Consider the following 27,511-nt stretch of genomic DNA (forward strand, 5'->3'; position numbering starts at 1 on the left):
CAGAGAAAGTAATTTTGGTGAAGTTTCAATCTCCCTCTTTTTTTTCTATATTAAGAAGCTCAGGAAAGAAGTTAATTTTAAATATGAATACCCTTTTAACTTTAATTTTATATTTATCTGCACATTCTCTCTTTCTCTCTTACTCTCTTTTCTTGAGATGTAATTTACTCACCATCAAATTGACCCTTTGTGTGTGTACTTTATGTATATTAACAAATGTATGCAATCATATCACCACCACCACAATCAAAATAGAGAATATTTCTATCATTCCAAAAAGTTCTGTTATGTCTCACTTATAGTCAATATCTCCCCTCTACCTTGCAGCCCTTGACAACCCTGATGTAAAAATATAAATGCCTTTTTGTTTCTAAAGCACATTTGGGGAAATTTTACTTAAGATGTAAGTATCCCTGTTAAGTCAAGAATTGAATAGATACAGTTTTAACATCCTTAAAATGTACCTGCTAGCATTATGCTGTAAGAAAGATACTTCAGAAAACAAAATTTAAACAAGTAATACAAAATACTGTTACTTCTGTGATTATGTGATATAACATTCAGTCTATGGTTGAGAAATTGCCTAATTTATGGCATCAAGCTCTGTGACTCACAGAGTAGCAGGGGTTGAAAAACACTTTTTCATGCCTCGATGTTTTTCTCTTCTTCTTTTGGGCAGGGCTAGGGGCAATGAGTTGATTTCAGCTTCAGTAATTTTTTTCTTTTTTCTTTTTTCTTTTTTTTTTGTCTAAGCAAAAAGTTTTCACTTGTCCTAAAGTGATACAGTAGTGATTCATAAGTTAATATGCCTGACAACTGAAAATCACAGAACATGTCAAATTATACCAAAGATTGGAAGAAAGAGACATTTTTAAATTGAACTTAAATATTCAACTAAGGATATGTTTTGTCCTTTTAATGACCGGCATATTGGTGGGGAAGGGTGTTAAATGGAAGTTTTGGATAGTGAAATTAATTGCCAAAAAAGACATACTTTGGGATGGCATGTCTCTTTCATATGCTTATCTTTGGGAACTGTCTGCCATATACCCTGTAAAAGGGAAGAGATTACTATGTTTATAGCACAAGGTCCATTTTCCTCTGAGCAGGTCTAATGGGATTGGGGTAGATCTAATCCAATGTTTGATCAGTCACAAATCAAATTATATTTTATCACATTGAAATGAAGTAGAAACTACAGTCAGACAATGGTGAGATCCAGAAAACCAAAGTTCACATACTTAATTCAACTGTGTTAGATGCCTTTGAATATTTTCCTTTTTAATCGATATTTTCCTTTTTTGATTTATGTGAACAGATTTTTCCTTCTTCTTCTCTGACACTACTCAGTCGCTGTGGTTTGCTCCATATCCTCACTTCTTATGTGTCTATTTTGTCTTTAGTTCTCTTCTTTTCTTTCTCTATAGTTTTGCCTTAGCTTAGGCAAACTTTCTATTTCAGTACTTATGTGGATAAGTCTCTATCTTTGGTCCTAAACTCTCAGTAACTCTAGATCTCCAATTTTCCAGCTTCTTCATAAATAGCTGTTTGTAGATTTCTCACAAGTATCTTCAACTCACCACGCTCTTAAGAAATCTTCTACCATACACGTTAGTTGCTTAGTACACAAATGCTTAATTGAATTGAACTGTGATCATTCACAGTGGAAAGAAAAATGGAATGTAAGTTTTTGAATTGGGCCTTAATGGCTAATTACTGGAAAAGAGGAAAGAGGAAAGAATCTTCCAAATGTAGAGAAGACAATGAGGTACAAAACCAGGTATAAACATTATAAAGTCCTAGAAGAGTGAGACTGGCCTGTCAAGGATAGAAAGAAATTGGTGGGAAGTAAAGTTGGGTAGTTAAGAGTGGGGCAAAATGTGGCAGAATTTGAAAGCAGAGAAGTTTAAACTTGATGTTTAAAACAAAATGGTATTCCTTAATGACTTTGGAGTAGAAGATATAATGGGCATTTGTTGGTTTCTTATCTGGCCTTCATTCTTTGCTCCACTCTTTCTAACAGTTTTTAGAATTTCATTCTTCTGAATGGAGTCCGTATGTTTAAATAGAAAGTAACTTCACCTTTAACTTCAGGGGTCAGCATGTGGCCTAAATTTCTCCAGCCAGAATGAACCTGAGAAATTCTGTTCAGAATCATTTTCTTGTGTGTAGAACTGTCCCCAATTTGTGCTATAGCCGTGACATAAATATGCTAGAAGACAGCCAGAAAAAGCTGAGAGAAGGCTAGGATGATCTTTATCTCCCAGCTAGAAAATATTTCTGAAAATTTTGAAGTATTAAAAAAAATTTTCAAAAAAGATAATTTTTGAAAAATACTAATAAACATTTTTGGTATAATACTATTCATTCACCTATAAATCACTTTACTTGGAGGGAACACAAAAGGATTATTATATATTATGTCTTATCTTGGGAAAACACAAATGTACTAGGTATGATTCCACATGTTCAAGAAATGAAATATATTGACCTAAGGAATTGCATTTCTTTTAACGCTTCTGTAAATCTTAGTGTTAATAGAACTAAATGGAGAAATGTATTAACTCCATTTTTATTTCCAAGTCTTTAGTGTTAATTTTATTTCCTTTCGTGTTACACTTTTGTCTTAAGAGTTCACAAAGTTTCTCATGATCAGTGGTGTTCTGGAGCTGGCACATATAACCTATCACATTAAAAATCAAAGGTAATAAATACTCAAAACCCAGCACTTCCTAAATATTGTATACATTTTAGTATCACCTATGTTGTCTAGGTAATTTTCCTTACTGAATCTATATGGTAGCAATAATACATAATCATGAGCTATTGAGCATCTCTTCTCAACTCTGTTCAGTGATACTGCATTAGTAGTTTGAAATGGGTCATGGTGAGAGTATTCATATCACTTAACCCACAGAGCAGGCAAATGCTATAAATCAGGGCTTGATTAATTGTTTTGTTTATTGTCTTTATTTAAGAAAGTGATACAGGAAACATTAATAATGCAGATTAAACTTAAAAGTGAGTCATGTCTGGAGACATTATACTGTGCAGCACAAAAAATTGAGAAAATAGTTTTCTAACACTTAAAAACTGTTACCTGATTCAGCATATACATCACTCACATAATAGATGAAGGAGGAAAGTTCTGACATTGGTCTTGCTGTTTCACGTTTATCTTTTTAAAATTTTTACTTGTTGTTTTGAGACAGTCTCACTCTGTTGCCCAGGGTAGAGTGCAGTGGTGTGATCACGGTTTACTGCAACCGCCGCCTCCTGGGTTCAAGTAATCCTCTCACCTCAGCCTCCCAAGTAGCTGGGACTAGAGGCACCCTTCACTACACCTAACTAATTTTCTTTGTATTTTTTTTTTTTTTTTGGAGAGATGGAGTCTCGCTATGTTGCCGCACTCGTGTCAAATTCCTGGCCTCAAGCAATCTGCCTGCCTTCACCTCCCAAAGTGCTGGGATTACAGGCGTGAACCACCGTGTTAGGGCCACTTTTATCTTAATGGGTTAAAAAAAATAAAAAAGGAAAGAAAAATCGCAGCCAATATTCACATCAGAACCACATGTATTTGTCAATTGCAGCTATGGGTTGGCTATGATTACAAGAGTTAGGAAAAATCAACAAAAGCTTACACATTCTTATATACTCAAAAGTTATTACAAGATGATGTACACACATACACACACGCACCCTCTTTTGTTTTGTTTTGTTTTGTTTGTTTTATTTTGTTTTGTTTTGAGACCCAGTTGTTAAACATTTACCAGCACTCCACTGGCTGCAACTTTCTATTTCATTTTCTATTTCATTGATTGAAGGTATAATTAGAAAGATAAGAACTTTTCAACAAAGCTTAAGATGTCTTCAGTATGAGAAAGCAAGCATACATGGGATCATTTTCTTGTAGAAATCATTGTAAAGCTTCAACTGCTCTCCTTGACATATAGGAACAGTAAGAACTTGACGCTGTAAAGCATTGCACAAAAATCAACCTTCCTACTGTGTAGCTGAAAGAAATTGCCTTTGGTAGTAAACAATAGTGTAGCAATAGCTAAATATTTCATGAAGAACTTTTTGTTACTTTTAAAAATTGATAAATATTTGTCAACTTGGAAAGAGTCCAAGAAATACAAACTATTTTTTTTACTTTTCTGCTTGATTTTGTTTCTTGTTTCCTGATATTTTTATACCATCTACCTCCTCTATGGTAATTCTGCCCCCTGCTGGAAATGGGTAGATGATAATTTCCCCCCGACTAGGAATTCAAACTATTAAAATACTGTAAAAACATTTAAAAAAAAAATAGAGAAACATTTTCTTAGTAGTGCCCTCAGGTCAATGAGCTTTTCATATAACAGTACTGTATTTGTCATTATAGAAATTAACATTTATCTTACATCTCGTGGTAAGAGATTTATGTTATTTCTCCCATTAGGTTGATGGAGCTCGTACTTTCTCCCTCCCCGGAAATTTGGTACAGTGCTCTGAAACATTTTAGTACTTAAATATACTACAAGAGCATTAACTTCCTTGATTTTAATTTCTTTCCATTTTGAAACATTTCTTTTTTATAATTATAATTTCAGATAGTAGTCATTGTCCTATTAACTAGTAAGCCTATTTCAAGTGCCTACTATTTATCTAACTCTGTGCCAAAGGCTGAGGGATTTTTCCAACATGAGGATCCTGCAGATGCTTTTCCTTTTGTTTCTTCTAAATAATTGTCATGAGCATATGGACACACTGACTGATCAGATATAACTAACCCATCAGGTATCCCTTTTTCCTTCCCTTGTTATAAACTTAGAACGTATGTTGTGTCTATTCATAAGACCATCTGATGTTCAGTTTTGAGTTAGACTCATTCCTAACTCACTTAATGTACAAATACTTCTTTCTGTTCATTTTTACCTATTCCTAGTTTATATCAATTTAAAATGTTTTATTTATCTTAGAAGTCACTTTAAATCCTTTTGAAAATAAGATGAAGCCAAAGCATAAAAATTAAATTAAAATGTTGGGGGACGGCTACCCAAGAAAAGTTTAGGTATAATTTGTATTCATATGGAGCTTGCAGAACACCTAGAAAGCTGCCATTTATAACCCATCATTTTAAGTCACATTTGCTTATGGCTTCTTGGATGGCTTCCTGGTCCCTTTTTTTTCTCTGGAAGCTTGATAGCAGCAGAAAGTCAGAGCCAACAGATAACTTAGACCAAAAGTTCTAAGCTGGGAGGTTTGTTATAAATGTCTTCCATATAACACTAGCCTCCTAGGCCATTTAAGGCTAGAGTTCAATTAAGCAAAATTTAAATCTAAATGTCAGTGTGGTAGAGAGGGATCCTTACCATAATCTGATTTATCGCTTGGTTATTACGATCATTTTGTTCTATTCTCCACCCTGGACTAATGAAAGACTATTACCATAGAGCCATGACAAGTTTTATTCTCTTGAACTGTCTAGCTTTGTTACTTTCCCTTGCTAATAGTCACTTACTGAGTCAGAGATGCTGCAGACATTGCAAATAGAATGATTCCTCATATGTCACTAGGGATACAGTTTTCTGAGATACAGATCTAGCAAGGGCATGAGAAAGAGAAGAAAGCAAAAAAGAAATCATCTCTGCTAATTCAATTGTGGGTTTCCTTGGATCAAAGACTACCTATTACAGCATACCAAGTTCAAGACTATTCATAGGATGCTGGAGGCCCTCTCCTCATGATTTATATTAAGCACTATACATGGTACACATGTGGCCTCTATGGAAGTATACTTAAATGATTCTTTTTTATCACTGGCAGACTAAGGAATAGCATACAAGGAGGTCTCGTTCTAGTGATGCTGTTTAAGTACTAGAAGGTCAGAGGAAGTGAAGAAAATAAATAGACAAAAGAAGAAAGATGCATATATTGAACAGCAAGTAGGACTAAATCTCAAAGGAGCAAATAAAAATTTCTAGCAAATGACATAACTCCATTTGAATATACAGCCAACAATTAAAATGTCAGGGAATTTGGTTCCCAGGGTTTTAAAACAAAGGGGAAATACTCAAATATCCCATTGGTGGGCATTAGGATTATTTTTAAATGACTATTTTTACCTCTGGTTAAGAGAACACACTTCACTGGGGAAAAATAGGTGAAAAATTGTTGATAGGTATCATTTTCTCAATTCTGCTATTCAATAAGTAATGGCTACAAATTTTAGTATAAAACATATGTGTTCAAAAAATCAAATTTTCTGTATTTGTTATAACTTTACTTCTATTTCAAGCCTATGTTGTTCCATTAGTGGCAGACTCTTAATCACAATCAGTTTAAAATAATCTCGTTGTAATCGGAGTTTCCTCAGGCAACTGAAGCCACCCCTCCTTCACCCAAACTTTTCCCTAGGTCTAGTGTCTAAGTTCTAGGATGTTGATAGACAGCAAAGGCATTGAGAGCAGGAGTGGAAGGGGGAACATAAATCTCCCTCAAGTCATTTGTATACACCAGCATCAGCTGAGAAATTCTTATCCCACCTCTGTTTGTCAATCCAAGAAGATCTCTGCCTTGTCTTCCTTATTCCAGAAAAAGTCAGCCATGTGCTTCTCATTCCACAGCGTGGGCTCTCCAGCCCTGGGTTCTCTCATCCATTTCCATATCCTTCTTGGGTGCATGTGGACATGCGACCTCTCCAAGGTAAACAGAGTTCAGAGGAACCCTATGGGGCTTGTCTCTTCCCAGCCTCTATTCCAAAAGTGATATATAGGACCACCTGACTTCAAAACCCACAAATAAATCTGGTGGCTCTAACGTTCTCCTTCCTACTTAGCCTGAAGGTGTGGGGAAGGGCAGGAAAGCCTTTATAGAGAAAATGAAAAGCCGACATCTAAATATTGTTTTCCCTTTGTTCTTAACCAGCTTGGTTTAGGTTCTTAACCTTGTGGCAGGGTTTCAGCTGGGAGAACATAAGGAAAAATGTCCTTTATTATTTAAGGTATAAGTTTTATGCCCCATGTCTTTTCTAGACAATATTTTATTTCTCAGAACAAGAAAATTGAAATTCAAAACCCAAATATTGACAAACATCTCCCATCTCTCTTTCTCTTCAATGTCGTCTTTCTTCCCTTAGGTACTAAAGATGAAATGTTATAGCTATCCAGGTTGAGGAAAATGCAGTATTTGTTAAAAAAAAAAAAAAAAAAGCATCTCAACAGATCATACAATTATCCATAAATTGTATTGGAATCTTTCTCCTTTTCCCCTTCCTCTCTTCCCTCCCTTTTTTCTTTCTCTTCTTCTTTTTCCTCCAGCTGTTTTTCTAATAGCTTGTTCATTGTTCTTTATTATTGTTTTTGGTTAGAAAGAGAAATGAAAGGTGAAAATTACATCAACTGATGTACTTTGGATGAGAACCAACAAGGGTCAGATTATTGACTGTAATTTTTTGTGCTTTTTCATTTAATTATTTTCTTTGTATTTTTCTGCAAATTTCACCAGGATAATTTACACTGACATTATATGAGCTATTGGAGTTAAGCGTTTAGCTTTTACATTTTGAAATCTGCAGAAAATGTACTAACTTTTTATAAACACTACTGGAAAAAAATTAAGTCTCAAGATCTCTTTCAGCTAAATGAGAAATCAGATAAATGATTTTAAATTGCAAGCTCAGGCTCAGTGCTATAGATACATTGTTTTGACTGCCTAGAATCCTCCTATTCTGAGAGCTGCCACTTCCCCTACCCACATGGGTTATTTTGTACTTGTTCCAAAAGTTGGTAGCTGAGCAAATCTGAGCCAACTCTAGTCATTTCCCTGGTGACAACTAATTGGACCAGGAATAAACAACTTACCCAAGTTGGACTTGTTAACCTCTCTTTGAAAATTTAGAATCAGAAATAGGATTCCAGGTAAGTCTGAGAAGAAGATAAAAATTGGGTATTGGTCGTATTTTTGTTCTACTATATAACACAGATGACAAAAACAAAAACCAAAAAAAACCACCATTACTCATGAATAAACAAGCAAAACAGAAAAAGCAGAAACAGAACAGAAATCCTAAGGGTGCTGGAACTCTTGGTTTCAGTTGTTCCTGAGGCTCAGTTTAAATCTGGATTGCACGTTTATGAAAAACACTAGTACCTTCATTATGAAGTCCTCTTTGGACTTAAGTTTGAGTTTATGTTACTTGCAACCAATCAAGTCCTAACCAATACTCTCCAGTGCCTTTTATGTCAGACTAATTCAGATGGACTATATTACCATACTGCAGAAGGAGCAAATGACTTGGGGTATTTCTCACCAGTCATGTGAAGTCATTTCTCTATCCATGTGGTTTCATTTAGAAATTGAAGCACAAGAAGAAAACCACGTGTTTATAACTTCAAAACTCCAAAAGGAAAATTTATTCTTAGAGACTTTTAAATAATAAGAGAAATACTAACAATGAGACAAGCCTATCTTTACTGAATTTAGAGTTTGACCAGTCAATAGTTTAAAATATCAGAATTTTTGTCACCGTAGCTGGGAAAATTCTGCTGAAGGCTGGAGAATGAATATGTCTGTGCTATTTAAAATAGGTTTTCTGGAATAGACAGTTTAGGCTCTAAAAAGAAGAAAGCAAGTCTTTGTCTACACTTATGGCTTATTCTGTTTAATTAACTCCTTTTCTCCAGAAACACAAATTCCAGCTTGCCCAAAAAAAAAAAAAAGAAAAGAAAACCATAAATCTATGTAAACTGCTGACTGACATAACTTAAACAAGGTAGTTAAAATAGTTGAAATCTCAGCTGTGTGACTGGGGTAAATTACTTAATCTCTCAGTGACTCAGTTGTCTTCTCTATAAAATGAAGATAGGATAGTTGTGAGTTGTAAATGAGTTAATATATGTAAGTCACATATCATAGTGCTTTGCACTTAATGTACACACAGTAAAAGTTCAGTTTATGTTAGCTACTATTTTCTCAAAGAAATACTAGAAAATGGGGTTTTCATATAGAGCTTTTGTTATCCTTGGTGGAAAGTTAATTTGGACTACGATTAGCACTTATACAAATGGGTCTTTCGCAATACTCCATTTATCCTTGTCTCTATCAAGATATTTACAAATGAAAATAAAATAAATTTTTAAATGAAAGAAAATAAAGCAAACTGAATGTAATTTTTAGGAAGAGAAGGGGCTGCCACAAAGTCTAACAATGACTAAGTGGTGAAATTCCAGCATATTTGGGAATGCGCCCTTATGTAGTAGACTTATACCGTACTGTTTTCCTCTCTTCTCTCTCTTTCTTTCTTTCGGTAATGGAACCCTTATTTCTTGTGGAAAACATTCTACATGATCTAGTTGGGAGTGAAGCTGAATCTTCTTCTAAGCCACAGGGTGGGCACATGAGACAGTAAGAATATCTGATCCAGAGCTCTTAGGGAAGACACTCCCTGTAATCCGATGTCAAAATTTGGTTGTCAGCCATCACCCAGCAACATAAAAAGAGTCATTGAATAGAAAGATATAATATCCTAATGGAATTATGTGACACCTTGGATCCCAGACATACTAAAGAAATGTATCCCTGGACTTTCAGTGATATGCCCTCAAAGGCTGTCAAATATTTTTGTTTAAAAAAAGTTATGCTGTTTTAAGTAGGAAGTTAATCACTTGCAACTGAAAAGTTTCCAACGATTACTGCTATTTCTGTGTTACCTTTCAGAAGCTGAAGGGTAGACTCTATACCCTGCTTCCATAAGAATGGGATCCATTTTGATTGTTTCTTCTTTTCAATGGAAAAAAAGCAAGTATGCATTCAGGTATTATTTTTTACCCAGTCCAGTTAGAGTTATAGTTTGGAATATTAGTTGACTAGAAAAGAATAAAAAATATCAGGAAATAGATTTTAGGCTGGGGCAGTAGCTCACGCCTGTAATTCCAGCACTTTGGGAGGCCGAGGTGGGTGGATAACCTAAGGTCAGGAGTTCAAGACCAGCTTTACCAACGTGGTGAAACCTCATCTCCACTAAAAATACAAAAAATCAGCCAGGTGTGGCGGCAGACACCTGTAATCCCAGCTACTCGGGAGGCTGAGGCAGGGGAATCGCTTGAACCCAGGAGGTAGAGGTTGCAGTGAGCCGAGATAGCACCATTGCACTTTACCTAGGGAACAAGAAAAAAAAAAAAAGAAAGAGACTTTAATGGAGAAAATCCTTAACAAATTAATATCAATTTTACGTTTACTATAGTCAAAGATTGAAGATATCTTTAAAAGGTGTGCTGTAGAATGACAATTTACAAATTCATTCAGCAGGAGATCATGTAGACATGAATTACCTGCTCTGCACTGTGATCATAAAACATTATCAAAGTTAGTTTTTAGATCAAGTGGAAAAGTTTTCTGATATTTCATTCAAAAGTACACTGGAGTTTATCTCTGTGCCCAAAAATATTCTTGAAGATGAAATACAGGGAATTACAAATAAATTTTGAACTGAGAAAGTGGAATGAGAAATAAAAGAGTAATTCTCTAATTTCCACTCTATCCCCAGGCCTATGCCCCTCCCCTTCACAATAAGTAATCCTAATTCCAGCTGTATGTGTTGGACAAGGAAGGGACAGGCGGGTGGGGCTGGTGACTAAAAGCTTTTTAGAGTATCTTGTAAGATTGTCTCTTGGAATAGTTAGAAACTTCCCTCTGCCAGAGGATTTAGTATCTGCCCCCACACTATGAAACATTTTGCTCTCCACCCATTCATCTTCTAAAAATCGTTGGCCTTAACACAATCTCTATTGTTAAGATATGGAGACATAGATTGCTGTAAATACCTCCCCAAAACACAGTGAGATTATGGCAGAGAGGAAATTGAGACCTCTTTTTCCCTAAGATACTACTTCCTCTACAAGACTTGGTTTGCTCTTGCTTTCCACACTTTGTTGTTTCTCAAACTTCCTTGTGTGCTCAGATATCCAGAGGACATGGGAAAATATAATTAACTGGGAAGACTGAAGTTTGGCTATAATTATCAATTTGGGCAATCCATTGTGGCAAGAGCCATGCAGGGTATACAAGGTCTTATACAAAACAGTCTTTTAAACCTATATTAAGTTCCACCGTTTCCACAGACTTTCCTCAGTTCTCCAAGTTTTTAACAATCTCTTCATTTCCCAGAACTACTAGAGAGGTTGATTACAAATGGTCTTATGATAGTCAATGTTTTATTGTGTATAGGATTTTCCAATATAAATACAGTATTCTCAGAGGAAAGTACATGACTTCCTTCTACATAATTTATTTTTCCATGATACTTCATATCGTTCTGGTTAAGTATATTTGTGTGGAAGAACTGGTCAGTTGTCTTGTATATGTCAGTTAATGGTGATTTCTCAATTTAATACTCATAGTTTCTTTTGCATGTTTTTATTAAGCTTTGCAAAATAGCACAAACAAATGTACTATTTACAGTTTCAGACCAAAGTATACTCTCCTGAGTATTCACATACCTAATAAACCTAATTAGTAATATAAAGAAAACCAGTATTTAACTAAATAACTTTTGTAGCACAATCATTCCACTTAGATAAATAGTTATTTGCTAAATTACTCAGGTAACAACCTGGTTCTGAGTTTCTTCTAGAGAGGAAAGAGGGTTACGGGGTCAAGATAGAGAAAGGAGGTGAGAAGTTTATATAGGAATTACTTTAAAAGTAAAAGTAAATTAAATTCTCTGAAAAAAGGAAAAGAAAAGCAAAAGGAAGGATAAGATAAAAGGGAAATTACTGATGTGTGCAAAAATATGCATATATTATTTTCCGGTGTGTCCGTGTGCAAACACATGAGAGAAATACAAGGAAATCTGTTTCTTTTTATGGTTGACTCTTCTATGTGTAGTGGGATTTTCTGGTTACATCTGAGCTAAATATTATGGCACATAGCAGAACACAGTAGTTATTGCACATGATTGTCTGTGAAGTGGGTGGGCAGGAATTTTTCATTTCATAAATCATTTCAGCTTGCTGCTCTAATTCCACAGCACTGGGAGACTAAAAAAAGCTCAAGAGGGAAAAAATGTGTTTTTCCTCTTTTTATTCTTAGTCTACCCCTTCCCAGTGTGAATAGATCTTTAGTGTTAATGATTAGGTTTTTTTATAAGACATTTCAAAATATCTTTATTGCTCTGCTTTTGAAGCAAATTATTATGTTTTCCCATTCTATTTTCTTTTTTGCCGGGGAAATTTAGTACCAAGGCAATCAGACATACAGTTTCCTTCCTTTATTTCTGCTTATTTATAGCACAGTCTATATCAATGAAATAATGCTATATTATTTTCTTGCTGATTGCTTAATGTTCACAGTTCAAAATTCCAGCCAAGGTCCTGAAGTGGTTTTACCCTTATTTAAGATTTCCTGCTGAAAACATTCTATTACAGCTTTGCAAGTAAGTACCTCCCTGGCCTCAAGTCACTATAAAGGTAATTTAGTAATTAAAATAAACACCCTTTGCAAATCTGTTTCCTCCCTTCTGGGAGACTAGGGAAGTAGTTTCCATCATATTTCAGGTTTCTCCCCATTTTCCTTAAATGATCAGCCTTCAACCAAGAAGTTACTTGGTAAGTTGTCTGTAATGTAGCTCCAGGGCAAACACAAAGTGTACATTGTGGGAAAATAAAGCAAAACAACAACAACAAAACACAAATAAAAAATGTTTCTCAACAGCTAGAGTCCATGAGCATAGTTTTATAATTTGCTTCCTGCTCCGGTAGGAAATTTAAATCGGTTCTTGAAACTATGTAGTTATTATGATTAATCAAAATCTATAGCTGTGGTGCTCTGTCTGAAGCCAGGAACTCCTGTGCCCCACTCCCTACAACAGTTAAAAAAAAAATTTTTTTTTCCTAGCAGAATAGAGCAGCGTTTAAAAGCAAAATTAAGAAAAAGGAAAAGGTAGTATATGCTAATACTGTCTTCTCACCTAGCATTTTTAGAGGTCCCTCACATTTATTATTTATCTCATCTTTAGAATTGGCTAACAGAAAGTAGCATGCAGATATCAAATGAAAAGAATACACCCTTTACACTTAAACAAAACCTTTTAATTTGCCATGCTAGTACAAAAATGGAGAGAATTGCAGTTACATTCTGTTAACTTGGAAACAGGATCTTCTTTTAAGTCAAATTTTGTTGGTTTTTAGTCAATAGGTTTCTGATTTGATTTTCATAAAAATTTTGAGTATTGTTTTCTCTTAATTTCTTCCGAAATTGTGCAAACCAAATTACATAGTTAGCCACTGTCATTTAAGTTAAAAACAATTCTATGAAAACAAATTTATTACTACTATATGGTTGGGTTTTGTGTAAATCTTCCTATACTTCTTGATTTTTAAAAATAGATGTGAAAATTAAAGCAATACAAGAGGTAGTCCTAGTCCAGATAAAAGAGATACAGAAATACTGATTCAAGCAGAGAGTTATATTTCTGAAATACTTCATTTTCCCCAGTGTAGATAGTCTGTGTAATAATGGGCTTGCATTATTAAGGGTGAAAAGTATTGATTTAATAATTATAACTCAAGAGAAAACTAAAAAATCAGGTGAACATAGTGCTGTGTTCATTTGCACTGCAATCAATTCTCCAAATATTCATTTGATAAATTACACAATAAAAGTGAATGAATAGTCCCAGGTTAGGTTAGGCCCAGTCAAAATTGTCTGAACATAAACAATAGAAAGTATCTTTCAGTCTCTCTGGTGATAAGTCTGTGACATAGGATACCAGATCTTCCAGTTGCTTAGTAGAAGCGAGAGTCAGAAAGATATGGAGACCCTCTATGGATTGTCTCTTGTGCCTAGCTAACTGCCTTCTACTCCCACAACTGATTGTCTTGTGGTTTTATTACATATATCAACATATCTCCCCTTTATCTATTCTGGTTTGATATGGATCTGTTACTTCCGAGAAAAGGGTTCTAATAAAACACCTATTAATGTATATTTTAGTGGACCACGTAAACAGAAATATATATTATTAATATATATTATTCTTATGGCACATGTTAATTCTAAATTAAGGTTCTGGGTACCCCTGGTATATGGTCTCACTAATAGGAAACAAGTAACAGGAACTATGAGTTGTGAGAGGAAAATAAATATTTTTTTCACATATAATAAAACTTTTGGAGAGCATATTTTTATATTCTTCTTTTCTTTCCATAGAACTTTTTTCCTCTTTCGTAACTACAAATTTTTCCAATCCCTTTCACACCAAGGCAAGCATAAGCACTCTAGTTACTGTGATCTAAAGACTGCTTTTTTACAAAAGTGCTGAGAAAGCAGAATAGACCAGCGTTTAAAAAGCAAAATTAAGAAAGAAGGAAAAGGTAGAAAATAAGTGATGAGAGAAGGTAGGTAGTAGACATATTTCCTGTGAATGATTTTTTCTTCAGAATTGCTGCAAGGTAGATTCAGTCTTATGCTGCTCATTTGAGGTTTCCTTTGCTACCTTTCCCAGTTCTGGCCAATTTGTATGTGTATATATTTGCCTAAGTGTATCAGGGTATATCCAGTGGAGTTAGTGAGAAGGGTGAAATGATGTCCTAAAAAACTGAGCTACCACTGTACCATTGTAAAAGCCAACAAAAATGCTCTGCAGTTGTTTTGAGTCAACAGTGCTCTACAAAGTTTACCAATGCCTGTTAACTTTCACATTCTCTTAAGATATCAGGCTTGGGGGAAGCAGAGATTTGTCCCATGATCCTCGGTGATTTTAAACCCTGTGATTTTGTTCTTCTCCAATCTCTTGCTAAGCTTAATGGAACAACATTGAAAGCAAATTCTATCTTGAAATATTTTGCTTTAATGTTTTTATAATTAGACTGCAAATTATTTGAGATTAATGAGGCTATAATTCCTCCTAATAAGAGTGGTTGTAGTAGTAGAGGCCATGATAGTGGTCACAGTTATTAATTGTAAATAATAGTAGTAGCTACCTTTTAATGAGCACTTATTATGTACCAAGCACCATGCAAAGAGCTTTAGGTAAGTTTAAACTCTATGAGATAGAGTGTACCTTATTCCCTTTATTTTACACGTGAGGAAACTGAGTCAGAGGCATTGGTAGTTTTAGTCATGGAGTTGCAGTTACAATGATAATAGTAAGTGTGGTAGCTAAACTTTAGTATTCTTTATGTGGCAAGAGCAATTCAAGTATTATCTCCTGTAATCTTGAAAAAATACTATGAATTACATGTGACCATTTCATCTCTTTCTGTATGCTGTAGATTATAAACTGCATTATTTAGTAATTTTCATTTAGGAGAAAGACAAAACACTATGTCGAATTTACTCATCAATTATATAACTCATCAATTTCACATCAGAAATACTCAAATGTGAAATTAAATGTGTATCTTTAAGCCAAAGGAAGGTACTGTTATTGTCATTTTACAAAGAGAGAAACTGAGGCTTAGTGGATACCAAAAAAAAAAAAATGCCCAAATTCATAAGCACTAGTAGCAAAGCTGAGATGTATATTCAAGTCTGTCTGGTATGGAATCAGCATAGATCTGAATAGATTTTGAGCGATAAGAGAGAATATCTCTTATTTACATCAGCCTTTTCTACTGCAAAGTGTCTGCCTATTTTTTTTTTAAGTCAGATGTCGTATCTTCACAATTCTAAATATCTGTGAACTTGTAAATCAAATGGATATCCAAAATAGAAGTGAAAAGTTGACTGCAAGCAGTGTCTGTACCCAATCACTTGGAATCGTTGAACACAAATTCTCTCAGTAGCAAGAATATTGCCTGGATAATTGACTCAACTCTCCACTTCCCCTTGCCTTGAAAAGTCAATAACTAGCTGGCTGTTTTGGTTCTTTGCCTAATTGGGCAATGATATTTCTAAGACATGATATCCATATTGTGACAGAGTTATTTCTTTATAAATATTTAATGCCACCAACAAAGACAGTTTGAGAAGTAAAATAACAATGTTTGGGTGTAGTTTCAGTCATGCCTTACCACTTTGTTATATGACCCCGTTCCCTGGCTAACATTTTCTCAGGCAGTTATTTCCTGTGCATTTCCTGAGGTTTCCACAACTAGACATTTTTTAAGGGAAATGGTAGTTAAAATAATAGAGCTTTTAAGGAATCTGAAGTTTAGTGATTAGGATTGTGGCCAATGGGTATATTTCCTGATATCTGTGAGAATTTAGAAGGTAGAATTCCTTTCTAATTATTGTAATAACAAACATCCTTAACATTTTTTTCTCTAGAAGATTGATAAGAGAAAAATTCAGCAGACCACAGTGCCGCAGGAACAACTGGCTGCCATTGTGCTTAAAGAGAAACAAAACAGGAAGCAAACCAAGAAAACCAATCCTGACTCCCGCATACAAACTGAGAGACGGTCAGGAGAAAGAAACGTGTTTAGATAGGAGTGATGCAATCAAAGGTTTACTATATCATAACAAAGAGGCCTGCATATGATCAAACTTTTGAACATTCTCTTACAAAAGATATTTGGAATCAGTATTATTTATTTTCCTGTAGATCTTAAATGAAAAATACAGATCTGCAGAAGAGGGCTGGTTTATAAAGAAGAGCAGTTCTAAGCACACAAAAGATAAAACAGCACTACATTTCAAACCAAAAGAGTTTAAGTTTTATGCTTGAAAGGGTGATGAGATTTTATCAAAGTGAACACAGAAACATTTGTAAGGTCTTTATATCTTTGGGAATGCTTAGGATGTCAATCTCTCCTTTTCCAGGGATTTCACCCTTCCTTAACTATAAAAAGAAGACTTCTTGGGCCAGGCCGGTGGCTCACGCCTGTAGTCCCAGCACTTTGGGAAGCCGAGGCGGATGGATCACGAGGTCAGGAGATCGAGACCAGACTGGCCAACATGGTGAAACCCCGTCTCTAACAAAAATAGAAAAATCAGCTGGGCATGGTGGTGCATGCCTGTAGTCCCAGCTACTTGGGAAGCTGAGGCAGGAGAATTGCTTGAACCTGGGAGGTGGAGGTTGCAGTAAACCGAGATCGTGCCACTGCACTCCAGCCTGGTGACAGAGCAAGAGTCCGTCTGAAAAAAAAAAAAGACTTCTTAATAAAAAACAGGCATACCTCATTTTACTGCACTTCACTTTTTTTGTGCTTCACAGATATTGCTTTTTTTTTTTTTTTTTTTTTTTTTTACAAATGGAAGGTTTGTGTGGTAACCCTTCATTCAGCAAGTCCATTGGTGCCATTTATCCAAGAGCATGTGCTCACCTTGCGTCTCTATGTTACATTTTGGTAATTCTTACAATATTTAAAAATTTTCACTATGATTATATCTGTGATGGTGGTCTGTGATCAGTGATCTTTGATGTTCCTATTGTAATTGTTTTAGGGCACCACCAACTGCATTCATATAGGACGGTGCACTTAATTGGTAAATACTGTGTGTATTCTAACTGCTCCACCAATCAGGTGTTGCCTCATCTTTCTCCTGCTCCTTGGACTCTCAATTCCCTCAGACACAACAGTGTTGAAATTAGACCAATTAATATCCCTACAATGGCCTCTAAGTGTTGAAGTGAAAGAAAGAGTTTCATGTTTCTCACTTTAAATAAAAAGCTAGATATGATTAAGCTTAGTGAGTGTATTAGTCTGTTCTCATGTTGCTAATAGAGACATACCTGAGACTGGGTAATTTATAAAGAAAAGAGGTTTAATGGACTCACCACTCCACATGATTGGGGAGACCTCACAGTGATGGTGAAAGACGAAGGAAGAGCAAAGAGACATCTTACATGGTGTCAGGCAGAGAGAGCTTGTGTAGGGGAACTCCCTTTTATAAAACGATCAGATATCATGAGATTTATTCACTATCAAGAGAACAGCAGGGGGAAGACCCATCCCCATGATTCAACTGCCTCCCACTGGATCCCTTCCATAGCACGAGGGAATTATGGGAGCTACAATTCAAGATGAGGTTTGGGTGCAGACACAGACAGACCATATCATTCTGCCCATGGCCCCTCCCAAATTTCATGTCCTCACATTTCAAAATCCGTCATGCCTTTCCAACAGTCCCCCAAAGTCTTAAGTCATTTCAGCATTAATTCAAAAGTCCACAGTCCAAAGTCTCATCGGAGACAAGCTAAGTCCCTTCTGCCTATAAGCCAGTAAAATCAAAAGCAAGTTAATCACTTCATACATAGAATGGGGGTACAGGCATTGGGTAAATACAGCCATTTCAAATGGGAGAAATTGGCTAAAATGAGGGGGCTAAAGACCCCATGCAAGTCTAAAATCCAGCAGGGCAGTCAAATCTTAAAGCTCCAAAATGTTCTCCTTCAACTTAATGTCTCTCATCCAGGTCACACTGATGCAAGAGGTGGGTTCCCATGATCTTAGGTCCCCTGTGGCTTTGTAGGGTACAGCCTCCCTCCTGGCTGCTCTCACAGGGTGGCATTGAGTGTCTGTGGCTGTTCCAGACACATGATGCAAGCTGTTGGTGGATCCACCATTCTGGGGTCTGGTGGATGGTGGCCCTCTTCTCACAGCTCCACTAGGCAGTGCCCAGTGGACTCTGTGTGGAGGCTTCAACCCCACATTTCCCTTCCATACTGCCCTAGCAGAGGATCTCCATGAGGGTCCTGCCCCTGCAGCAAATTTCTGCTTGGACATCCAAGCAATTTATATATCCTCTGAAATCTAGGCAGAGGTTCCTAAATCTCAATTTTTGACTTCTGTGCACCCACAGGCTCAACACCACATGGAAACTGCCAAGGCTTGGGGCTTGCACCCTCTGAAGCCATGGCCTGAGCTGCACCTTGGCCCCTTTTTGCCATGGCTAGAGCGGGTGGGATGCAGGGAACCAAGCTCCTAGGCTTCACACAGAAGGGGGACCCTGGGCCTGGCCCATGAAACCATTTTTTCCTCCTAGGACTCTGGGCCTGTGAAGGGAGGGGCTTCCGTGAAAGTCTCTGACATGCTCTGGAGACATTTTCCCCATTGTCTTGCTGATTAACATTTGACTCCTCATTACTTATGCAAATTTTTGCAGCCAGCTTAAATATCTCCTCAGAAAATTGGTTTTTCTTTTCTATTGCATTATCAGGCTACACATTTTTCAAACTTTTATGCTTTGTTTCCCTTTTAAAACTGAATGCTTTTAAAAGCGCCCAAGTCAACTCTTGAACTATTTGCTGCTTAGAAATTTCTTCCACAAGATACCCTTAATAATCTCCCTCAAGTTCAAAGTTCCAAAAATCTCTAAGGCAGGGTCAAAATGCTGCCAGTCTCTTTGCTAAAGCATACATAGCAGGAGTCACCTTTGCTCCAGTTCCCAACAAATTTTTTGTCTCCATCTGAGACCAACTCAGCCTGGATTTCATTGTCCATATCATTATTAGCGTTTTGGTCAAAGCCATTCAACAAGTCTCTAGGAATTTCCAAACTTTCCCACGTTTTCCTGTCTTCTTCTGAGCCTTCCAAACTGTTCCAACCTCTGCTTGTTATCCAGTTCCAAAGTTGCTTCCACATTTTTAGGTATCTTTACAGCAGCCCGCCACTCTACTCCTACTAATTTAGTGTATTAATCTGTTTTCATGATGCTGATAAAAACATACTTGAGACTTGGTAATTTATAAAGAAAAGGAGGTTTAATGGACTCATAGTTCCATGTAGCCAGGGAGGCGTTACAATCGTGGTGGAGGATGAAAGGCACGTCTTACATGGAGACAGGGCAGGGGCCTTGTGTAGGGGAACTCCCCTTTATAAAACCACCAGATCTTGTGAGCCTTATTCACTATCACAAGAACAGCATGGGAAAGACCCGCCCCCATGATTCAATTACTTCCCACTGGTTCCCTCTCACAGTGTGTGGTAATTATGGAAATTATAATTTAAGATGAGATTTGGGTGGGGACACAGATAAACTATATCAGTGAGGAAAGCATGTTGAAAGCTGAGAGAGGTCAAAAGCTAGGCTTCTTGTACCAAACTGTTAGACAACTTGTGAATACAGAGGAAAACTTCTTGCAGGAAATTAAAAGTACTACTCCAGTGAACACAAGAATAATAAGAAAGTAAAATGGCCTTATTGCTGATGTGCAGAAAGTCTGGGTATTCTGGATAGGAGACCAAATCACCCACAATATTCTCTCAAACCAAAGCCAAATTCAGAGCAAGGCCCCAACTCACTTCAATTCTATGAAGGCTGTGAGAGGATGAGGAAGCCACAGAAGAAAAATGCGAATTGAGTAGAGGTGGGTCCATGAGGTTTAAGGAGAAAAGCCATCTCCATTGCATAAAAGTACAGGGTGAAACAGCAAGTGCTGATGTAAAAGCTGCAGCAAGTTATCCAGAAGATCTAGCTAAGATAACTGACAAAGGTGGCTACATGAAAAAATAGATTTTCAATGTAGATGAAACAGCCTTCTATTGGAAGAAGATGTTATCTAGGACTTTCACAGCCAGAGAGAAGAAATCAATGCCTGACTTCAGAGCTTCAAAGAACAAGCTGACTCTCTTGTTAGTGGCTAATGCTGCTGGTGACTTTAACTTGAAGCCAATGATAATTTATCATTCTGAAAATTATAGGGCCCTTTAAAATTATGCTGAATTGACTTTTTTTGTTCTCTAGAAATGGAACAAAGCCTGGATGATGAGACATCTGTTTGCTGAATATTTTAAGCCCACTGTTGAGACATACTGCTCCAAAAAAAAATTTTTTTTAAGCTATTACTGCTCATTGACAATGCACCTGGTCACCAAAGAATTCTGATGGAGATGTACAAGATTAATGTTGTTTCCATTATAGCTAACACAATATCTATTCTGCAACCCATAGATCAAGGAGTAATTTTAATTTTCATGTCATATTATTTAAGAAATATGTTTTATAAGTTTATAGCTGCCATAGATAATGATTCCTCTGGTGAATATGGACAATGTAAATTGAAAACCTTCTGGAAAGGATTCACCATTCTAGATGGCATTAAGAACATTCATGATTCTTGGGAGGAGATCAAAATACAACACTATAACAGGAATTAGGAAAAAGTTGATTCCAACCTTTTTGGATAACTTTGAGGGTTCAATACTTCATTGGAGGAAGTAACCATAGATGTGGTAGAAATAGTGAAAGAAATAGAATCAGAAGTGAAACCTGATGTGACTGAATTGCTACAACCTCATGTTCAAATGAAAAGATGAGGAGGTGGCAGTTCTTATGGATAAGCAAAGAAAGTAGATTTTCAGGACAGAATCTACTGCTGGTGAAGGTGCTATGAACATTGTTGAAATGACAACAAAGGATTTAGAATATTACATAAACTTAGTAGATAAAGCAGTGGCATGGCTTGAGAGGATTGATTTCAATTTTGAAATAAGTCCTACTGTTGTTAAAATGCTACTAAATAGCATTGCATACTACAGAGAAATCTTTGGGAAAGGAAGAGTCTATCAATGAAGTATGTTTCATTGTTGCCTTGTTTAAGAAATTGCCACAGCTAACATAACCAGCAACTATCACCCTGACTAGTCAATAGCCATCAATATTGAGACAAGATTCTCCACCAGCAAAAAAAATTGAAGACTCATTGAAGGCTCAGAGGGCTGCTAACATTTTTTTAGCAATAAAGTTTTTTAAAATTAAGGTATGTATATTTTATAGTATAAACATAACTTTTTGAGATTGTAATCAATTTTTAAATTTTTGTGAGTGCATGGTGCATATATATGTGCATATATGTATATATCACATTGTGCTGGTGAATACTAGACTTTATTCATTATTTCCAATTATTTTTTGTGCCCATTAACCATCTCCACTTCCCCCAACCACCCCCCTACTATGCTTCTCAGCCTCTGATAACCATCCTTTCACTCTCTATCTCCATGAGTTCAGTTGTTTTTGTTTTTAGCTCCCACGAATAAATGAAAGCATGCAAAGTTTGTCTTTCTGTGTCTGGCTTATTTCACTTAACATCATGACCTCCAGTTTCATCCTGATTATTGCAGATGACACGATCTCATTCTTTTTTTTGATGTAAAGTACCCCATTGTGTACATATACCACATTTTCTTTATGCATTTATCTGTTGATGGACACTTAGGTTACTTCCAAGTCTTGAGTATTGTGAGCAATGATGCAATAAACATGGGACTGCAGATATCTCTTCAATATACTAATATACATTATTTTGGGTATACACATAAGAGTGAAATTGCTGGATATTATGGCAGCTATATTTTCGACTTTTTTGAGAAACCTCCAAACTTTTCTCTGTAATGGTACTAATTTACATTGCCAACAGCATACAAGGGTTCCTTTTTCTCCACATCCTTGCCAGCATTTGTTATTGCCTGTCTTTTGGATAAAAGCCAATTTAACTGGGGTGAGATGATATCTCATTATAGTTTTGATTTGCATTTCTCTGATGATCAATGATGTTGAGCACCTTTTCATATACATGTGTGCTATTTGTATGTCTTCTTTTGAGAAATGTCTATTTATATCTTTTGCCCATTTTAAAATTTCATTATTAGATTATTTTCTACAGAGTTGTTTGAGCTCCTTATGTATTATTGTTATTAATCCCTTGTCAGATGGATAGTCTGCAAATATTTTCTCCCATTCTGTGGGTTGGCTTTTCACTTACTTGTTTCTTTACTTTGCTGTGCAGAAGCTTTTTAACTTGATGTTATGCCATTTGTTCATTTTTGCTTTGGTTTCCTGTGCTTGTTGGGTATTACTCAAGAAATCTTTGCCCAGTCCAATGTCTTGGAGAGTTTCCCCAATGTTTCCTTTCAGTAATTTCAGAGTTTAGGCTTAGATTTAAGTCATTAATCCATTTTGACTTGATTTTTGTATATGGCAAGAGATAGGGATCTAGTTTCATTCTTCTGCATATGGATATCCAGTTTGGCCAGCATCATTTATTAAAGAGATTATCCTTTCTCAAATGTATGATCTTGGCATCTTTGTCACAACTGAATTTACTGCAGATGTATGGATTTGTTTCTGGGTTCTGTATTCTGTTTCACTGTTCTATGTATCTGTTTTTATACCAGCACCATGCTGTTTTGGTTACTATAACTCTGTAGTATAATTTGAAGTCAGGTAATGTGATTCCTCTAGTTTTGTTCTACATAGCTTTGGCTATTCTGGGTCTTTTGTGCTTTCATGGAAATTTTAGGTTTTTTAAAAACAATTCTGTGAATAACATCATGGTATTTTGATAGGGATTGCATTGAATCCATATATTGCTTTGGGTAGTACAGACATTTAAACAATATTGATTCTTCTAATCCGCGATTATGGAGTATCTCTCCATTTTGTGTGTGTGTGTGTCCTCTTTAATTTCTTGCATCAATGTTTTATAATTTTTATTGGAGAGATCTTTCACTTTTTTGGTTAATTTCTAGGTATTTTATTTAATTTTTAGCTATTATAAATGGGATTACATTCTTAATTCATTTTTCAGGTTGCTTGTTTGGCATGTAAAAATGCTACTGATTTTTGTATGTTGACTTTGTATCCTGCAACTTTACAGAATTTGTTAACCAGTTATACTGTCTTTATTTGTGTGGAGTCTTCAGGTTTTTCCAAATATAAGATAACATAATCTATAAACAAGGATAATTTGTCTTCTTCTGTTCTAATTTGCATGTCCTTTATTTCTTGTCTGATTGCTCAAGCTAGGACTTCCAGTGCTATATTGAATAACAGTGGTAGAAGTAACCATCCTTGTTGTGTTACAGATCTTAGAGACAAAACTTTCAGCTTTTCCCCATTCAGTATGATATTAGCTATGGGTCTGTCACATATGGCTTTTATTATGTTGAAGTATGTTCCTTCTGTACCAGTTTTTTAAGGGTTTTTATCATGAAGAGATGTTGAATCTTACCAAATGCTTTGCAGCATCAGTTGAGATTATCATATGGTTTTCATCCTTCATTATGTTGATAGGATGTATCACATTGATTGATTTGTGTATGTCAAACCATCCTTGCATTCCTGGAATAAATCCCACTTGGTCATGATGAATGATCTTTTAAATGTAGTATTGAATTCAGTTTGCTAGTATTTTGGTGAAGATTTTTTCATAATTATTAATTGGTGGTATTAGCTTGTAGTTTTCTTTTTGTATGTGTCTTTGTCTGGTTTTAGTATCACGGTTATACTGACCGCATAGAATTTGGAAGTATTCCCTCCTCTTTGTTTTTGAATAGTTTGAACAGAATTAGTATTGATTCTTCTTTAAACATTTGGCTTCAGCAGTGGAGCCATCTGTCCTGGGTTTTTCTTTGCTGAGAGACTTTTTACTATGGCTTCAATCTCATTACTTGCTATTGGTCTAGTCAGGTCTTGGGTTTCTTTATGGTTCAATGTTGAGAGGTTGTGTGCATCTAGGAATTTATTCATTTCTTCTAGGTTTTCCATTTTATTGGCATATTGTTCCTCATACTAGCCACTAATATTGCTTTACATTTCTGCAGTATCAGTTGTAATATCTCCTTTTCACCTTTAATTTTATTTATTTAGGTATTCTCTCTTTTTTTCTTAGTCTGGCTAAAAATTTGTCAGTTTTGTTTATCTTTTCCAAAAAACCAACTTTTCATGTTGTTGATCTTTTGTATTTTCTTCTGTTTCAATTCCATTAATTTCTTCTCTAATCTTTATTATTTCTTTTTTTTCCTACTAATTTCGGGTTTAGTTTGTTCTTGCATTTCTAGTTCTTTAAGATGCATTGTTAGGTTATTTATTTTCTTCTTTTTTGATGTCATTATAAACTTATAGCTATAAACTTCCCTCTTAGTACTGCTTTTTCTGTATACCATAGGTTTTGGTATGTTTTGTTTCCATTATTATTGGTTTCAAGAAGTGTTTCAATTTTCTCCTTAATTTTTTCATTGGCCTACTGGTCATTCAGGAGCATATTGTTTAATTTTCATGTGTTTGTATAGTTTCCAAAATTCCTCTTGTTATTGCTTTCTAGTTTTATTTCATTGTGGTCAGAGAAGATGTTTGATATTATTTCAGTATTTTTGAATATTTTAAGATTTGTTTTGTGACCCAACATGTGGTCTATCCTTAAGAATGATGCATGTGCTGAGGAAAAGAATGTGTATTCTACAGCTGTTGAATGAAATGTTCTGTAAATATCTATTAGGTACATTTCGTCTATACTGCAGTTTAAGTCTGATGTTTCTTTTTTGATTTTCTGTCTGGAACATCTGTCCAATGCCAAAAGTGGAGTGTTAAATTCTCCAGCTATGATTGTATTCAGGACTATCTTTCTCTTTAGCTCTAGTAATATTTGTTTTATATATCTGGGTGCTCCAGTATTAGGTGCATATGTATTTACAATTATATCGTCTTGCTGAATTGACTTCTTTATCATTACATAATGACCTTCCTTGTCTCTTCTTTCAGGTTTGTATTTAAATCTATTTTGTCTGATATAAGTATAATTATCCTTGCTCTTTTTTTGGTTTTCATTGGCATAGCATATCTTTTTCCATCCCTTTATTTTCAGTCTATCCACGGATCTTTATAGGTGAAGTGTGTTTCTTATAGACAACAGATCATTGGGTCTTGTTTCCTATCCATTCTGCCACTCTATGTCTTTTGATTGGAGAGTTTTGTTCATTTACATTCAATATTATTATTGATAAGTAAGGACTTATTCCTGCTATTTTGTTATTTGCTTTCTGGTTGTTTTGTGTTCTTCTCTTTCTATTTTCTTTTCTTCCTGCCTTAGTTTTAGTGAAGGTGATTTTCTCTGGTGGTATGATTTAATTTCTTGCTTTTTACTTTTTGTGTATCTATTGTATGTTTTATGATTTCAGGTTACCATGAGGCTTACAAATACTATCTCATAACCCATGATTTTTAAGCTGATACAACTTAATGCTGCTTATATAAGCAAACAAGGAAAAAGAAAATTAATTTAAAAAATCTACACTCTAACTTTGTTTCCCCACTTTTTAACTTTTTATTGTTTCTACTTTATCTTATTGTACTGTCTATGTCTTGAAAAGTTGTTGTAGCTATTATTTTTGTTTGGTTCATCTTTGAGTCTTTCTACTTAAGATAACAGTAGTTTGCACACTACAGTTACAGTGTTATAATATTCTGTGTTTTTCTGTGTACTTACTATTGACAGTGAGTTTTGTACCTTCAGATGATGTCTTGTTTTTCCTTAGTGTCTTTTTATTTCTGATTGAAGTACTCCCTTTAGCATTTCTTGTAGGACAGGTCTGGTGTTGATGAAATCCCTCAGCTTTTTTGTGTCTGGGAAAGTCTCTATTTCTCCTTCATGTTTGAAGGATATTTTCACTGGATATACTATGCTAGGGTAAAAATGTTTTTCTTTCAGCACTTTATGGCATTCTACTCTCTCATGGCCTGTGAAGTTTCCCCTTAAAAGTCTGCTGCCAGACTTATTAGAGCTCCAGTATATGTTATTTGTTTGTTTTCTCTTGTTGTTTTTAGGATCCTTTCTTTATCCTCAACCTTTGGGAGTTTATTAAATGCCTTGAGACATGTTTCTTTGGGTTAAATCTGCGTTGTGTTCTATAATCTTCTTGTACTTGGCTATTGATATCTTTCTTTAGATTTGGGAAATTCTCTTTTATTATCCCATTGGGTATGCTTCCTACTCTATCTCTTTCTCTACTTCTGATTTAAGGCCAACAACCCTTAGATTTGCCCTTTTGAAGTGATTTTCTAGATCCTGTAGGTATATTACATTGATTTCAATTCTTTTTGTTTTGTCTCCTCTGTGTATTTTTAAATAGCCTGTCTTCAAGCTCACAAATTCTTTCTTCTGCTTGATCATTCTGCCACATTTTCTGTATGTAAATTGCATTTTTCAACACCAGAATTTCTACTGGATTGTTTTTAATTATTTTATTATCATTGTTAAATTTATCTGATAGGATTCTGAATTTCTTATCTATGTTACCTTGAACGTCTTTGAGTTTCCTCAAAACACCTATTTTGAATTCTCTGTCTGAAAGGTCATATATCTCTGTGTCTCCGGGATTGGTCCCTGGTGCCTTATTTAGTTTGTTTGGTGAAGTCATGTTTTCCCAAATGGTCTTGATGCTTGTTGATGTTTGTCAGTGTCTGGGGATTGAAGAGTTAGGTATTTATTGTAGACTTTATAGTCTGGGCTTGTTTGTACCTGCCCTTCTTAGGAAGGCTTCCCAAATATTCAAAAGGACTTGAGTGTTGTGATCTAAGCCATATCTGCATTAGGGGACACCCCAAGTCCAGTAATGTTGTGGTTCTTACAGACTCATAGAGGTACTGCCTTGGTAGTCTTGGATAAGATCTGGAAGAATTCTCTGGATTAACAAGTAGAGACTCTGATTCTCTTGCCTTACTTTCTTCCAATCAAAGGGAGCCTCTGGGGCTGGGGGTGGGGTGGCACAGGCACTTCTGTGGCCACCACCGCTGGAAATGCTTTGGGTTAGACCTAAAGCCAGCACAACACTGGGCCTTACCCAAGTCCCAGTGTAATTACTGC

At 35.6% G+C, this 27,511-nt stretch overlaps 2 long non-coding RNA genes across 2 annotated transcripts in view; one reads left to right on the forward strand and one right to left on the reverse strand.

Annotated features, from left to right (window-relative positions):
* LOC124902426 (uncharacterized) overlaps window positions 1-17,106 on the forward strand; it is a 46,727-nt gene extending 29,621 nt beyond the window's left edge. The window contains exon 2 of the long non-coding RNA XR_007062146.1: window positions 16,747-17,106. This is a non-coding gene — a long non-coding RNA (uncharacterized LOC124902426). The remainder of the gene's footprint in view (window positions 1-16,746) is intronic.
* The window catches only part of LOC105378305 (uncharacterized), a 198,425-nt gene that overhangs the window by 5,964 nt on the left and 164,950 nt on the right, over window positions 1-27,511 (reverse strand). The window lies entirely within an intron of this gene.

The sequence above is a fragment of the Homo sapiens genome, chromosome 10 (genome assembly GCF_000001405.40).
Source record: "Homo sapiens chromosome 10, GRCh38.p14 Primary Assembly".
In the NCBI taxonomy this organism is placed as follows: Eukaryota; Metazoa; Chordata; class Mammalia; order Primates; family Hominidae; genus Homo; species Homo sapiens.